At 45.2% G+C, this 13,256-nt stretch overlaps 1 protein-coding gene across 4 annotated transcripts in view; it reads left to right on the top strand.

The window, feature by feature from the left end:
* Window positions 1–11,857, top strand: part of EBPL (EBP like) — a 30,814-nt gene extending 18,957 nt beyond the window's left edge. The window contains exons 2-5 of one of the 4 annotated variants that reach the window (NM_001278636.1): window positions 2,685–2,754; window positions 9,336–9,474; window positions 10,604–10,665; window positions 11,323–11,855. In NM_001278636.1, coding sequence (NP_001265565.1) covers window positions 2,685–2,754; window positions 9,336–9,474; window positions 10,604–10,628 — 234 coding nt within the window. In that variant the 3' untranslated portion in view covers window positions 10,629–10,665; window positions 11,323–11,855. Of the gene's footprint in view, window positions 1–2,684; window positions 2,755–9,335; window positions 9,475–10,603; window positions 10,666–11,322 lie in introns of all 4 variants that reach the window. The other 3 variants (NR_103802.1, NM_032565.5, NR_103803.1) reach the window with 3 other exon arrangements.
* Window positions 11,858–13,256: the final 1,399 nt, after the last annotated feature.

Below are 13,256 nucleotides of genomic sequence, written 5' to 3'. Positions count from 1 at the left end.
TATTAGCATGTTCTATGTGTTAGCCATTTGCAATACAGAGATAAAAGAGAAAGAATTGGCCCTCAGAGAACTGGCAGTTTTGGGAAGAGACAAGTGAGCAAGTTTCTGTGTAGGAGGGCACTGACCTCCCAGCAGGAGAATAGTAAAATCTTGCTTCCTGGAGGAGGTGACACCTGATCAGCATTTGAAGGCATGAATATTCGTTACACTTGATATGTATTATACTATCTTTACATTTAGGACATTAATACAGTAAGAGATAGGGCAGTCTAAAAGCCTCTTCAGGGCATCCTTCTTTATAAGTAATTTGTTGTATGAACTTAATTCAAGGTTAGCAAACACGGAACACAAATGTCATGTTTCTTGGGGATTCTAAGGTAGAGATGACAGTATTCCAGATCCCAATGATGTGTGATCCAATGGGAGCTGGGGGTCCATAGCGAGCAGATAGCTGCTGGTTACAGAAACAAACTTAGCCACATGGGAGATTTAGGAGAGTGAGATATTAATTCTCACTAGGAGGTCAAAGAAGGTTTCTTGAAGAAGGGGGTTAGGGCTGGGATTTGAAAAATGAGTAGAGCTTCAACAAGTAGATGTAAAAGGAAACGGATTTGTTATAGACTCATAGGTTCCTGCATGTTACTGATTTCCAGTTCCCCATCTTGCTCTTACCCAGAGTTGCTTCTGTGGAAAGGTCTGCAACCTGGTGTCAGACTCCACATCTTACTAATGGGTCCAGTGAAAGAGGTCGCCAGTGGAGGTTGCATTTCGTTTTAGGATGAGATTTACAATCTATAGGAAGGAAGTCCTTCATCTTACAGATAGATGGCCTGAGGCCTAGAGAGGGTCAAATCCAGTCCAGCCCCATTGCCCCACTGGCCAGCCCAGTGGATGTGCTTTGTGTAGAAAGTTCTCAGGCCAGAGCAAGGAAGTGGTATGGATTTCACCCTATGGCTCTGCTAAAAATAAAAAATTGGCTGGTAAAAATAAAGTGTTGCAAAGTAAGTGGACTGGGGAGTACTTATTTGTTAAAAACACAGCTATTTTTCTCATATGATTTTTTTAATGTCCTTTAAGGGATATGATTTTTGGAGCCTGGCACGGTGACTCACACCTGTAATCCCAGCACTTTGGGAGGCCGAGGTGGGGAAATCACTTGAGGCCAGGAGTTTAAGACCAGCCTGGCCCACATGGTGAAATCCCATCTCTACTAAAAATAACAAAAATTAGCTGAATGTGGTGTCACACGCCTGTGGTCCCAGCTACTTGAGAGTCTGAGGCACTGGAATCGCTTGAACCCGGGAGGCGTAGGTTGCAGTGAGCTGAGGTTGCACCACCACACTCCAGCCTATCTTCAGCTTCAGAGTGAGACTATCTCAGAAAAAGAAAACAAAGGATACTTCATTTGCAGCATTATCCTTAAATGACACAGGAGTCAGGATACGGGATCCCTAAGGAAAGAAATTGTGGCCCATTACAGTGAACGCTGTTTCCATAATCACAACATTGTAAATGCTGTTAATTGGCTTTTTCAGCTTTTAGAATCCAGTTACAGATAAAACAGGGAAAACAAATATGTTTAGAGAACAAGAAAGGACATGTAATCAGTCTCAACAATGCACAAGCAAACTGGACAGAAATTGAGAGTTGGGAACAGGGTGCGGGGAGCCTGGTAGAGGCTGTCATACTCTTTCGTGGTTTAGAAGCCCAGAGACTGCACAAAATTGATGAGTGAGTGAGCTGAGGTTTTCAGTTTTTTTACTTAAGTTACAAATTTGTGTAAGTAATAGAATAATATATCAGAAACTCGAAGGACTGGAAACGGGAGAGGAAGGAGTATCAATCAAACAATAGCTTTTCCTGCTAGTAGTCGAAGGAAATAGCAGTGTAAGTATATTATGAAATCACCGCGGGAACTGCAAAGAGATGTGATTGAGAGTGGTGACCTCTGGGGTGGCAGGACCCAGTTTTAATGTCATACAAATGATTGTTTAAAAGGAATGAGAAAAAAGTTTTATTGACCAGCAGCAAAATTTGTTCAAAGGAGCAACATGACAATTACATATCCCAGTGGCTTCTAGCTGTTTAGTTTTAGAAATCTTAGGCAAAGAAGCACTTCAGTGATGGGAAAATACTAACTGTAATTGCAGATATTTTATTACCTGAATGTTAAATGTAGCCTGTAACTGTTTTAAATCTTCCTAAACTTGCCCTTATATAGGAGAAGGGGGGAGGATTGCTCAATGCTGGTATAAACTTGATTGCCTTTCTCTTTAAGATCTTAGATTTTTTTGAGTTAAAAAAAAGTGAACTTCTGTGGGGTTCTCCGCAAAGACTTAAGATCCCTGGAATAATCTAGAGCTTACTCTATTTAATACAGTAGTTAAACTCTTATGCAAAAATTTCACTTTTTCCACATAAGAACACATCTCTGCTTTTACAGTGCCAATCATTGAAAAACAACATTAATTGTACATTAGGGTGAGACATACCCATTTCCAAGGTCCAGGTAACCAGGTCCCAAGATTGTATCCCACAAGGTTGTATGGATGTTTCCAGGCTGTGGCCAGGATGTGAGCCATGGAGAAGGGTGGGGGATGGAGCCAGGCAATGCCATGTGTCTACAGTGCCATCCTGTGGTTGTGATGCTGTATTAGAGCATGTCTTCATTTTCTCCTCTCTAGGAAGGCCCTTTTGTCTACTTGTCTTTAGTAGGAAACGTTGCAAATTCCGATGGCTTGATTGCTTCTTTATGTAAGTAATTAAAAACGTTTGCGTTTGAAATGTTGGAGGAGGTTTATTGCAAGTGTGACTGTCAAACGCCTCTATTATATACTGTATGACTTCATTTATATGAAATGTCCAGAATAGGTGAGTCTGTAGAGATACTGTAGATTACTGGTTGCGTGGGAATGAGGGTAGGGGTGGGGGTGTTGGGGGGAAATGAGGAGTGACTGCTAATGGGCACGGATTTCTTTTTGGGGTAATGAAATGTTCTAAAATTAGATTGTGGTGATTCAAACCTGTGATTCTACTAAAACCAATTATTTAAATAGGTAGATTGTGTGGCATGTGAATTACATCTTAATAAAGCTATTATATTAAACAATATTTGAGCCTGGGCAACATAGCAAGACCCTATCTTTAAAAAAAGTTTTTTAAATGAGCCAGGTGTGGTGGTGCACACCTGTAGTCCCAGCTACTCAGGAGGCTGAGGCGGGAGAATCTTTTGAGCCCAGGAGTTCAAGGCTGCATTGAGTCACAGTTGCACCACTGCACTCCAGCCCGGGCGACAGAGCAAGAGTCCATCTCTAAAAAACAATACATAAAATAAAAAATGTTGGTAGTGAATGGCCGGGCATGGTGGCTCACGCCTGTAATCCCAGCACTTTGGGAGGCTGAGGCAGGTAGATCACCAGGTCAGGAGATGGAGACTATCCTGGCTAACACGGTGAAATCCTGTCTGTGCTAAAAATATAAAAAATTGGCTGGGCGTGGTGGCGGGCCCCTGTAGTCCCAGGTACTTGGGAGGCTGAGGCAAGAGAATGGCGTGAACCCAGGAGGTGGAGCTTGCAGTGAGCCGAGATCACGCCACTGCACTCCAGTCTGGGTGACAGAGCAAGACTCCCTCTCAAAAAAAAAAAAAAAATGTTGGTAGTGAGTGCAGATGGAAGAGCTTGTGGGGTTTAAACTGGGTGGTTTTCCCATACTTTTAATATCAACTTTCTTTTTATTGTACATATATATTTGTGGTCTTGTAGATCCTTTCCAAAAGTCTTCATGCTCATTGTCAGTCAATATTCAATTAGCATTGATATTCTACCATGTACTGTGTCAATACCAACAGGTATTTTTTTTTACCACTTTATAAAACTGCCTTTCTCAGGATAACTGCTTTCAGGTTTTGCTTCTGAAACTTTGCATCATTTATCTCATTTCTTTTTTTTCTTTTTTTTTTCAGGCGAGTCTCGCTCTGTCCCCCAGGCTGGAGCACAGTGGCACCATCTCGGCTCACTGCAAGCTCCGCCTCCCAGGTTCACGCCATTCTCCTGCCTCAGCCTCCCGAGTAGCTGGGACTACAGGCGCCCGCCACCACGCCTAGCTAATTTTTTTGTATTTTTAGTAGAGACGGGGTTTCACCATGTTAGCCAGGATGGTCTCGATCTCCTGACCTCGTGATCTGCCCACCTCGGCCTCCCAAAGTGCTGGGGTTATAGGCATGAGCCACCGCGCCTGGCCCATATATCTCATTTCTTTGTGACTCTAAAATCATCTCCAGCTAGGATCTGTGTGGGGGACTCCTGTTTACCACTAGTGTTAGGAAACATCTAGAGAATTGAGTAGGCTCATTAGTACTTCCCAAAGGAAAAGGTGTCATCTTTGATGCCTCAAGTCCTAGCCAAGGAGTTTGAGCCCCCTTGACCAGAGTAGAGCCACTTCAGATCCAGGGCTCAGCTGAATGCAGCTATGCACTTTTGATTGGCTGCATTAAACTCTGCCTGGGGATTGCTGGTGAAGCCCAGAGGCTGACGGACCCCAGCCTGAGTCATGGCTCCTCCCTGCTGAGTGTCCTCTTCTCCCCTTTGCCAGATGCCATGCTGACACCTCCTCCCCTGGCTGCCCTGCCTGGCATGAGAGAAAGCAAACAGCCCAGATTTGGCTCAATCCCATGAAATGCAAATGTCTAACACAGGCTTTCTCTATCATCTTCACGTTTACATTATGCACCTTAAAGAAGTGAAAACTAGCTGGGTGCAGTGGCACGAGCCTGGAGCCCCAGCTACTTGGGAGGCTGAGGCAGGAGGATTATTTGAGCCCAGGAGTTTGAATTTAGCCAGGGCAACACAGTAAGACCGTATTTCTAAAAACCAAAACGCAGTAAAAACTCATTTATTGAAGGTGTCCTTTATTTTCATGAAAGTAAAAATCCAGTAGATAATGTAAAGCAAGTAGTACTTCCCAGACTCCAAAGTGCCCCAGATCACCTGGGAATCTTACTCAAATGCAGATTCTGATACCGTGTGTCTAGGGCAGGACCTTCTGATGATGACCTGTGTTCTGACCTTGGCTTCACTGGGATGCAGGGCCAGCCATAAACCTCATGAATACTCAGCATCTCCTGGTCTCCACTGTCTGGTTGAGGACACAACAATGGCTCTGGTTGAGGAAATCTACCCCGACCCTTAGTTTGCATCTTTTCCTTGTAAACCTCACCTAAGTCCAGTTATCAGTCACAGAATCAATGGAAATGATCACATCGTCAGGCTTTTTAATGCTCCTGTTTGCCTTTTTATTGTTTCAGTGTTTAATAAGCAAAGAGATGGTTAAAGTTTAGCAGTAGAGGAGATGCCAGAGGGACTGCCAGAGGGAGATGCCACAGGGAGATGCGCTGGGACTGGTGGATTCCAGGGCCCCTTACTATCCGTCCCCTACCTTCCTCTCACGCATTAACCTTCCCCCACCATCAGCTCTGCTAAACTGTCTGTAGATTCAGACACGCTACCTCTCAGCTCCAGGCCTTTGCACATGCTCCTCCCTGAAACACCCTTATTTTCCACTCAGATCTGGAGTCATCTCTTGTGGTATAAGGCCTGAAATTAGGATTCAGTATTATGTCTGCCTTTTTTTTTTTTCTTTTTTTTTTAACAGAGTCTCGCTCTGTCTCCCAGGCTGGAGTGCAGTGGCGCAATGTCAGTTCACTGCAACCTCTGCCTCCCAGTTCAAGTGATGCTCTTGCCTCAGCCTCCCAAGTAGCTGGAACTACAGGTGTGCGCCACCACGCCCAGCTAATTTTTGTTTTTTTTTTTTTTTTTTTTTTTGAGACGGAGTCTCACTCTTTCGCCCAAGCTGGACTGCAGTGGTGCTATCCCGGCTCACTGCAAGCTCCGCCTCTTGGGTTCATGCCATTCTCCTGCCTCAGCCTCCCGAGTAGCTGGGATTACAGGCGCCCACCACCACGCCTGGCTAATTTTTTGTATTTTTAGTAGAGACAGGGTTTCACCATGTTAGCCAAGCTGGTCTCAAACTCCTGACCTCAACTGATCCACCCGCCTCGGCCTCTCAAAATGCTGGGATTACAGGTGTGAGCCACCCTCCCTGGCTGGGATTCAGTATTATGTCTGCTTTGATACCTGGTAAGATCCAGGGGGGCCTCAGATGGCCAAACTGCAAGTCTCCCTCCCCACTCTGCTTCCACATATAAGGTTCCCTAACCAGATAGCTCTCCCTATCAAGGGGAGCAGGCACAGATTTGGAGGGGACAAATGCTTGTCCCCTCAGTAGCAGGCTTCAGTTCCCACCAGTCTGCCTGTGGAATTATCCAGACAAGCCAATCACATCCTCTGTGGGGAACCAGGGCTCATCCCACCCCCTCCTCTTGTTACTGCAAAGCCTGCCTGCGTGGCCCCTGCCCGAACACTGTTCCCAGGTGCAACCCCTATGTGGCCCTGCATGGCGAGATGTCCTCCTTTCCCGGGCCACAGTGTGTGCAACTAATAAACCTCCTCCATCTCATCTGCCCAGTGTCGGGTCTTGTGTGTTCAGCCATCACCATAGCCCTCAGGCAGAAGTCCATCCCTCACCAACAGGGAAGAGAGGCAGTGATCAAAACACCTCCTCCAGGAAGTCTTCCCTGAAGTTCGTAGTCTGGCTTCAGTGCCACTTCTTCCCTGCCCTCATATTCGCTAACCGCCACTTACTGCCTGGTTTTCAGCCTCACTAGGATGTGGGCCACTAAGGGCCAACATGGTCCTACTTGCAGCTGCATTATCAGGGCCTACCATAACACCTTCCAAATGCTTAAAAAAAAAAAAAAAGACTTGTTGAAGGCTGGACACGGTGGCCCACGCCTGTAATCCCAGCATTTTGGGAAGCCAAAACAGATGGATCACTTGAGGTTAAGTTTGAGACCAGCCTTGCCAACATTGTGAAACCCTGTCTCTACCAAAAATACAAAAATTAGGCCAGGTGCAGTGACTCAAGCCTGTAATCCCAGCACTTTAGGAGGCCAAAGCAGGTGGATCACCTGAGGTCAGGAGTTCAAGACCAGCCTGACCAACATGGTGAAACCCCATCTCTATTAAAAATACAAAATTAGCCGGGCATGGTGGTGAGTGCCTATAATCCTAGCTACTTGGGAGGCTGAGGCAGGAGAATTGCTTGAACACGGGAGGCGGAGGTTGCAGCGAGCCAAGATCTGGCCATTGCACTCCAGCCTGGGTGACAAAGTGAGACTCCGTCTCAGTCAGTCAGTATTAGCTGAGTGTGGTGGTGGGTGCCTGTAGTCCCAGCTATTTGGGAGGCTGAGGCTGGAGAATCACTTGAACCTGGGAGGCAGAGGTTGCAGTGAGCCGAGATCATGCCATTGCACTCCAGGCTGGGTAACAGTGAGACTCCTTCTCAAAAAAAAAAAAAAAAAGACTTGGTCAATATCTCTTTTTGTTCCTAAAGAACTGACATTTTACTTAGGTGATATTTTATTAGATTTTAGGTGCACTAACTGGTACATTTCACCTATTGTATGTATATTTAAATTTAGAGGAGAAACGTTTCAATATGACATTGTTTTCCAGTTAGTTATTGGAGGGCACAGGAGACTGCAGACAGTCAGCTAAGGACAGGCTGATGACTCTCGGTGGCCTCTCACAGAACATTCCCTCAGCATGTGCCTTGTGTGTTATCCCATTAAATAGCTAATCCTCTTATTGTCCTTTCTCTTAGGACAGCCTTTTGTTAGAAACCTTTGTCCCAGGCCCTGAGGGATCCTTCCTCTGGTCTTTATGAGACAAGAGCTGTGTGCTGCTCAGTAGCAGATCACAGGCTCCTCTGTGGACTTCACACCTTTTCTGAATAATGCGAGGCAGTATTAAAGGGGGAGACGAGGTGTGATCACTTCCATTTTTTCACTGTAATCATTTGAGATCTTAGGACCAGCATGTATTACTTTTACAAATTAAGAAAGTAATTAAATAATTTTTAATGGCCTCCATAATACCTGGCCATCATTCCAGCCCTGAAAAGACTTTCTGAGTCATGGTGTTCCTGAGAAGAAACCACTCTGATAATGGGTCTGGATGGATCTCTGAGAGCACACTGGCTCCCCAAGCAGCACAGCTGAGACTGTGTGAGAGCCATTGTGAGTTCCCTGTCCCTGTGGGCGGAGATGCCCCTCTGCCCACTCCGATTCATTCTGCAGTCTGGGCTCTCTCCTCCCCTCCCTGCCCACTGTCCCTTCAGCACCTAGTTTCTCTTCTGTTATTAATAAACGTGTTGTTGTATTGAGATAGAGTCTAGCTCTTGTTGCCCAGGCCGGAGTGCAGTGGTGCGATCTCGGTTCACTGCAACCTCCGCCTCCTGGGTTCAAGCGATTCTCTTGCCTCAGCCTCCCAAGTAGCTGAGATTACAGGCATGCGCCACCACGCCCAGCTACTTTTTGTATTTTTAGTAGAGACACGGTTTCGCCATGTTGGCTGAGCTGGTCCCAAACTCCTGACTTCAAGTGATCCGCCCACCTTGGCCTCCCAAAGTGCTGGGATTACAGGCGTGAGCCACCGTGCCTGGCCAAGAAACAAGTTTTTGGTTGTTTGTTTTTTTGTTTTTTTTTTTTTGAGACGGAGTCTCGCTCTGTCACCCAGGCTGGAGTGCAGTGGCGCAATCTCGGCTCACTGCAAGCTCCGCCTCCTGGGTTCATGCCATTCTCCTGCCTCAGCTGGGACTGCAGGTGCCCGCCACCATGCCTGGCTAATTTTTTGTATTTTTAGTAGAGACAGGGTTTCACCATGTTGGCCAGGATGGTCTCGATCTCCTGACCTCGTGATCTGCCCGCCTTGGCCTCCCAAAGTGTTGGGATTACAGGTGTGAGCCACCGTGCCTGGCCATAAACGTGTTTTTTATAAACATGTCCTTCATAACAAATTTCCCACATCTCCATTATACTTACAGAATTTATATGGAAATTTTGAAGTAAGGAATTACAATGTATTTACCAAGATCATGACTGGAGATTGTCTTTGCAAAATCTGACCATGTTGAATTCTTTTAAAATTCTGCTACTTATGTTGAAGAGGGTGGGGCTGAGGAGGGCGTGTATGTGAAAGCATGCTGGAAACTGAATGATTGGACACCTGTAAACCTGCTGCTGTTCTCAGTGCTTGTGTCAGGTGGTAAACGCATTTTGGTCCCAGGGCTTCTCCTGCCTTCCACTAAGGCATCGTGAAGAATGCAGAGAGAGTGGCGATTACTCATTTTATCTCCACCTTAAAGGAAAGAAAGGTCATTTCCATGAACTGTCATAAAAATTGTTGCCATTTGAGTAACAACATGGATTTTGTCTTTAGGGAAAGAATATGGCAAAGCTGATGCAAGATGGGTTTATTTTGATCCAACCATTGTGTCTGTGGAAATTCTGACCGTCGCCCTGGATGGGTCTCTGGCATTGTTCCTCATTTATGCCATAGTCAAAGAAAAATATTACCGGTAGGTGCCCTTCTTCTGTCCTGCTGGAAGGAGGGGAGACATTACATGTCCCAACACTTAGGTGACCTTTGGAGTAGGTTGTGACCACATATATTTGTTAGATAAAAGGTGGAAGAATAGAGGCTGGGCGCGGTGGCTCCCACCTGTAATCCCAGCACTTTGGGAGGCTGAGGCGGGAGGATCACCTGATCCCAGGAGTTTGAGACCAGCCTAGGCAATACAATGAGACCCTGTCTCTACAAGGAATAAAAAATTTAAAAATTAGGCGTGGTGGCACACGCCTGTAGTCCCAGATACTTAAGAGGCAGAGGTGGGAGGATCACTTGGGCTTAGGAGGTCAAGGCTGCAGTAAGCCATGATCACGCCACTGCACTCCAACCTGGGTGACATAGACCCTGTCTCCAAAAAAAAAAAGCAGAAGAGAAATGAAAATTATTTTATGTGAGATAAGGGTGATGGTGCTACTAGGATCATTTCAGACTTTTCAGAATCAAAAATATGAGAAATATTATTTTAATAACAACCTAGACTCTGTAGAGGCAAGAATGGTGCTAACGCTCTTGGATGATTTGCCACCAATACTTTGGAGAATAAAACCATAATACGTCCATCCTTTTCCCCCCAAATCATTCAAGAAAACTCCTGTCCCACTTGACAAAAAGTAAATTATCTTATATAATTTGGAGTCAGACTTGCAAGATAAATAGGAAATCTTCTCAGAAGCAGATTGTGAAGGATATGGGGCAGGCGGAGTGCAGAGAGACCAGGTGCGGTGGCTCATGCCTATAATCCCAGCACTTTGGGAGGCCGAGGCAGGTGGATCACGAGATCAGAAGTTCAGGACCAGCCTGGCCAACATGGTGAAACCCCGTCTCTACTCAAAATACAAAAATTAGCTAGCCAGGCACGGTGGCGGGTGCCTGTAAGTCCCAGCTATCGGGAGGCTGAGGCAGGAGAATTGCTTGAACCTGGGAAGTGGAGGTTGCAGTGAGCCACGTTCGTGCCACTGCACTCCAGCCTAGGTGACAGAGCGAGACTCTGTCTCAAAAAAAAAGGATGAAAAAATTATCCATCCTATCAGACTCAGAGACTATAAACTCTCCTCCCTTCCTTCCTTTTCTTTCCTTAGGGACAGAGTGGCCTGGGGTGAATAGATTGCTATCCTGAGATGAATCCCTAAAACAATTTCAAGTAGGCACAGCTGCATTCCATTTTCCACCATCTTGTAATGAAGAAGTCTTATTTAAAGCTTCCTTCCCCACCCAATTTTAGAGAGATAGTTGGCAATAAAAATTAAATTTTTCCTTGGTACCTTGACGTATTTTTCACTCCATGACGCTGGTTGCAAACTTACTACGTGTGCCCATGTGTTTATTATTTTAAACATTTGTGATATTTGCATTATTGAGCCTTTTACTTGCCCATCGCTTGGCCCTTTATCCTCATATCTCATTTAGTCTGCACTACACTGTTTGAGGAAGGGGTTATTACTCACTCTCCCCTTTTATAATGGCTCATGGTGAGATTCAGAGTCAGGCCTCTCTGTGTTAAGTCAGGTGTGATCTCACCAAATTTCCCCAAGAATGGGTCAGGATCCCTGAGGGTCCTTACTTAACTCTGAGAATAATCTAGAAAGGGCAGTGTTGCTCCTCTAAGGAAAGAATGAGCCTTCATTAATTAGATTGACTTGCCCCCATCAAAATAGCACCACCCAACATCTGAGGCCCAACTTAGGACGGTTTTCATAGCGAAGACTGTTGATGCCGCCATTACAGACAAGATGTCATGACTCTGATGCCAAACTGTGCCAAGCTGGTGGTTCATCCCGGGCTTCTTTCTCTCCAACAGGCATTTCCTGCAGATCACCCTGTGCGTGTGCGAGCTGTATGGCTGCTGGATGACCTTCCTCCCAGAGTGGCTCACCAGAAGCCCCAACCTCAACACCAGCAACTGGCTGTACTGTTGGCTTTACCTGTTTTTTTTTAACGGTGTGTGGGTTCTGATCCCAGGACTGCTACTGTGGCAGTCATGGCTAGAACTCAAGAAAATGCATCAGAAAGAAACCAGTTCAGTGAAGAAGTTTCAGTGAACTTTCAAAACCATAAACACCATTATCTAACTTCATGAACCAGAATGAATCAAATCTTTTTGTTTGGCCAAAATGTAATACATTCCAGTCTACACTTTGTTTTTGTATTGTTGCTCCTGAACAACCTGTTTCAAATTGGTTTTAAGGCGACCAGTTTTCGTTGTATTGTTGTTCAATTAAATGGTGATATAGGGAAAAGAGAACAAATTTGAATTTGTAATAATAAAATGTTTAATTATACATTTTATGGCTGGCATTAATTGTTCCACATTAGTAAAACCAATTATCTTAGAATACTGCAGTGTTATATTAATTTTTTATTCCAAAGGAAATGTTCTTGCCTCATCTTTTAATCTTCTCACCAGTCTTTTTTGGTTACCAATGTGAAACCAGAAATGAATTGAAAGCTTCTGTTTTTATATTTATACTATTTAAAGTTTGTGAACCCAAATAGGAGCTGGTGAGTGAGCTGACTCCTCCTGAGTAAATGGGTAAACACTGGGGCCCCATGCAGAGAGATGATTGATTTATATTTGTCCTTTTTCAAGGAGGAAGATTGGAGATGCCTTGCAGAAATACATAATACATTATGATGAAAAGTAAATCAGGAAATAGGAACACAGGGAGAGTGAGAGAGAAATAAGATGAGCATGAAATAAATATGCAAAATGTATGCCCTAACCTTCTACAGAATTGAGAGAAGGAAAGCACCAATTTGGCACTTACCCTCAGCACCAAGAGGGACTCGTGATTACATTGCGTTTCAGAAAACACTCGTCTGGGAGATGAATTAGCAGTTCTGTGGTGGCTGGGGAGCAGGTACTTACGTTAACTTGTTCAGTGCTTGCCTTTCTTACTAGACTCTTGAGCTCACAGATCTGATCTCTGCCTTGCCCAGCACATAGACCAGGCCCTTGGTATGTTGTGGCGGATGCTGTAGCTCTGATAGCTCAGTCTGTGTTCCACTCTCCTTCTAGGTTGGCTTCCTACCCTGCAGAGGCTGCAGGCCCTGGTCCCAGATGCCAAATTGGTTTTACCTTTCAGAAGTACTTGAGAGATTTGGAGGGTGAAAATATAGAGGCCATTTTCTACTGTTTCTCTCTCTCTCTGTCTCCCTCTCTCTCTCCTGTCTTCTTCCCTCCCTCTCTCTCTGTCTCTCTCCCTCTTTTCTGTTTTGTGCAGACAAGTAAGGTCATGGAAATGTGAGAGTTTGGCATTACTATACCAAGTGTCCAACTCCCTGGGTATCAAGAGGCAGTCATGGCGGGAGCAGCAGGTCTGTGGTCTGAGTAGCCCCAGTGGTGGCCTCACTGGTAGTGCTGCCCTTGGGGGTGGTCCATTCTGTGGTCATCCCGTAGTCACCCCCAAGAGCTTAGCCAAGCATCTATATCCTGTAACCCGGCAGTTTGACTCCTAGGTATGTACCTCACAGAAATGCTTAATATATGCACCAGAATGGCAGCATTATTCATAATAATCCCAAATTGGAAACAATCTAAATGAATAAGTTATACGTAAATGGATTACTGTACAGCAATGAAAACCAACAACCAGCTAGGCATGATGGCTCATGCCTGTAATCCCAATACTTTGGGAGGCCAAGGCGGGAGGATCACTTGAGCCCAGGAGTTCAAGACTAGCCTTGAGCAGCATAGTGAGACCCTCACACCACAAATGAAAAAAAAAAAATAGC

This window comes from Homo sapiens, chromosome 13 (genome assembly GCF_000001405.40).
Source record: "Homo sapiens chromosome 13, GRCh38.p14 Primary Assembly".
Taxonomy (NCBI): domain Eukaryota; kingdom Metazoa; phylum Chordata; class Mammalia; order Primates; family Hominidae; genus Homo; species Homo sapiens.
Note: the sequence above shows the minus strand (reverse complement) of the source record. Positions and strands in the feature narration are given on the sequence as shown.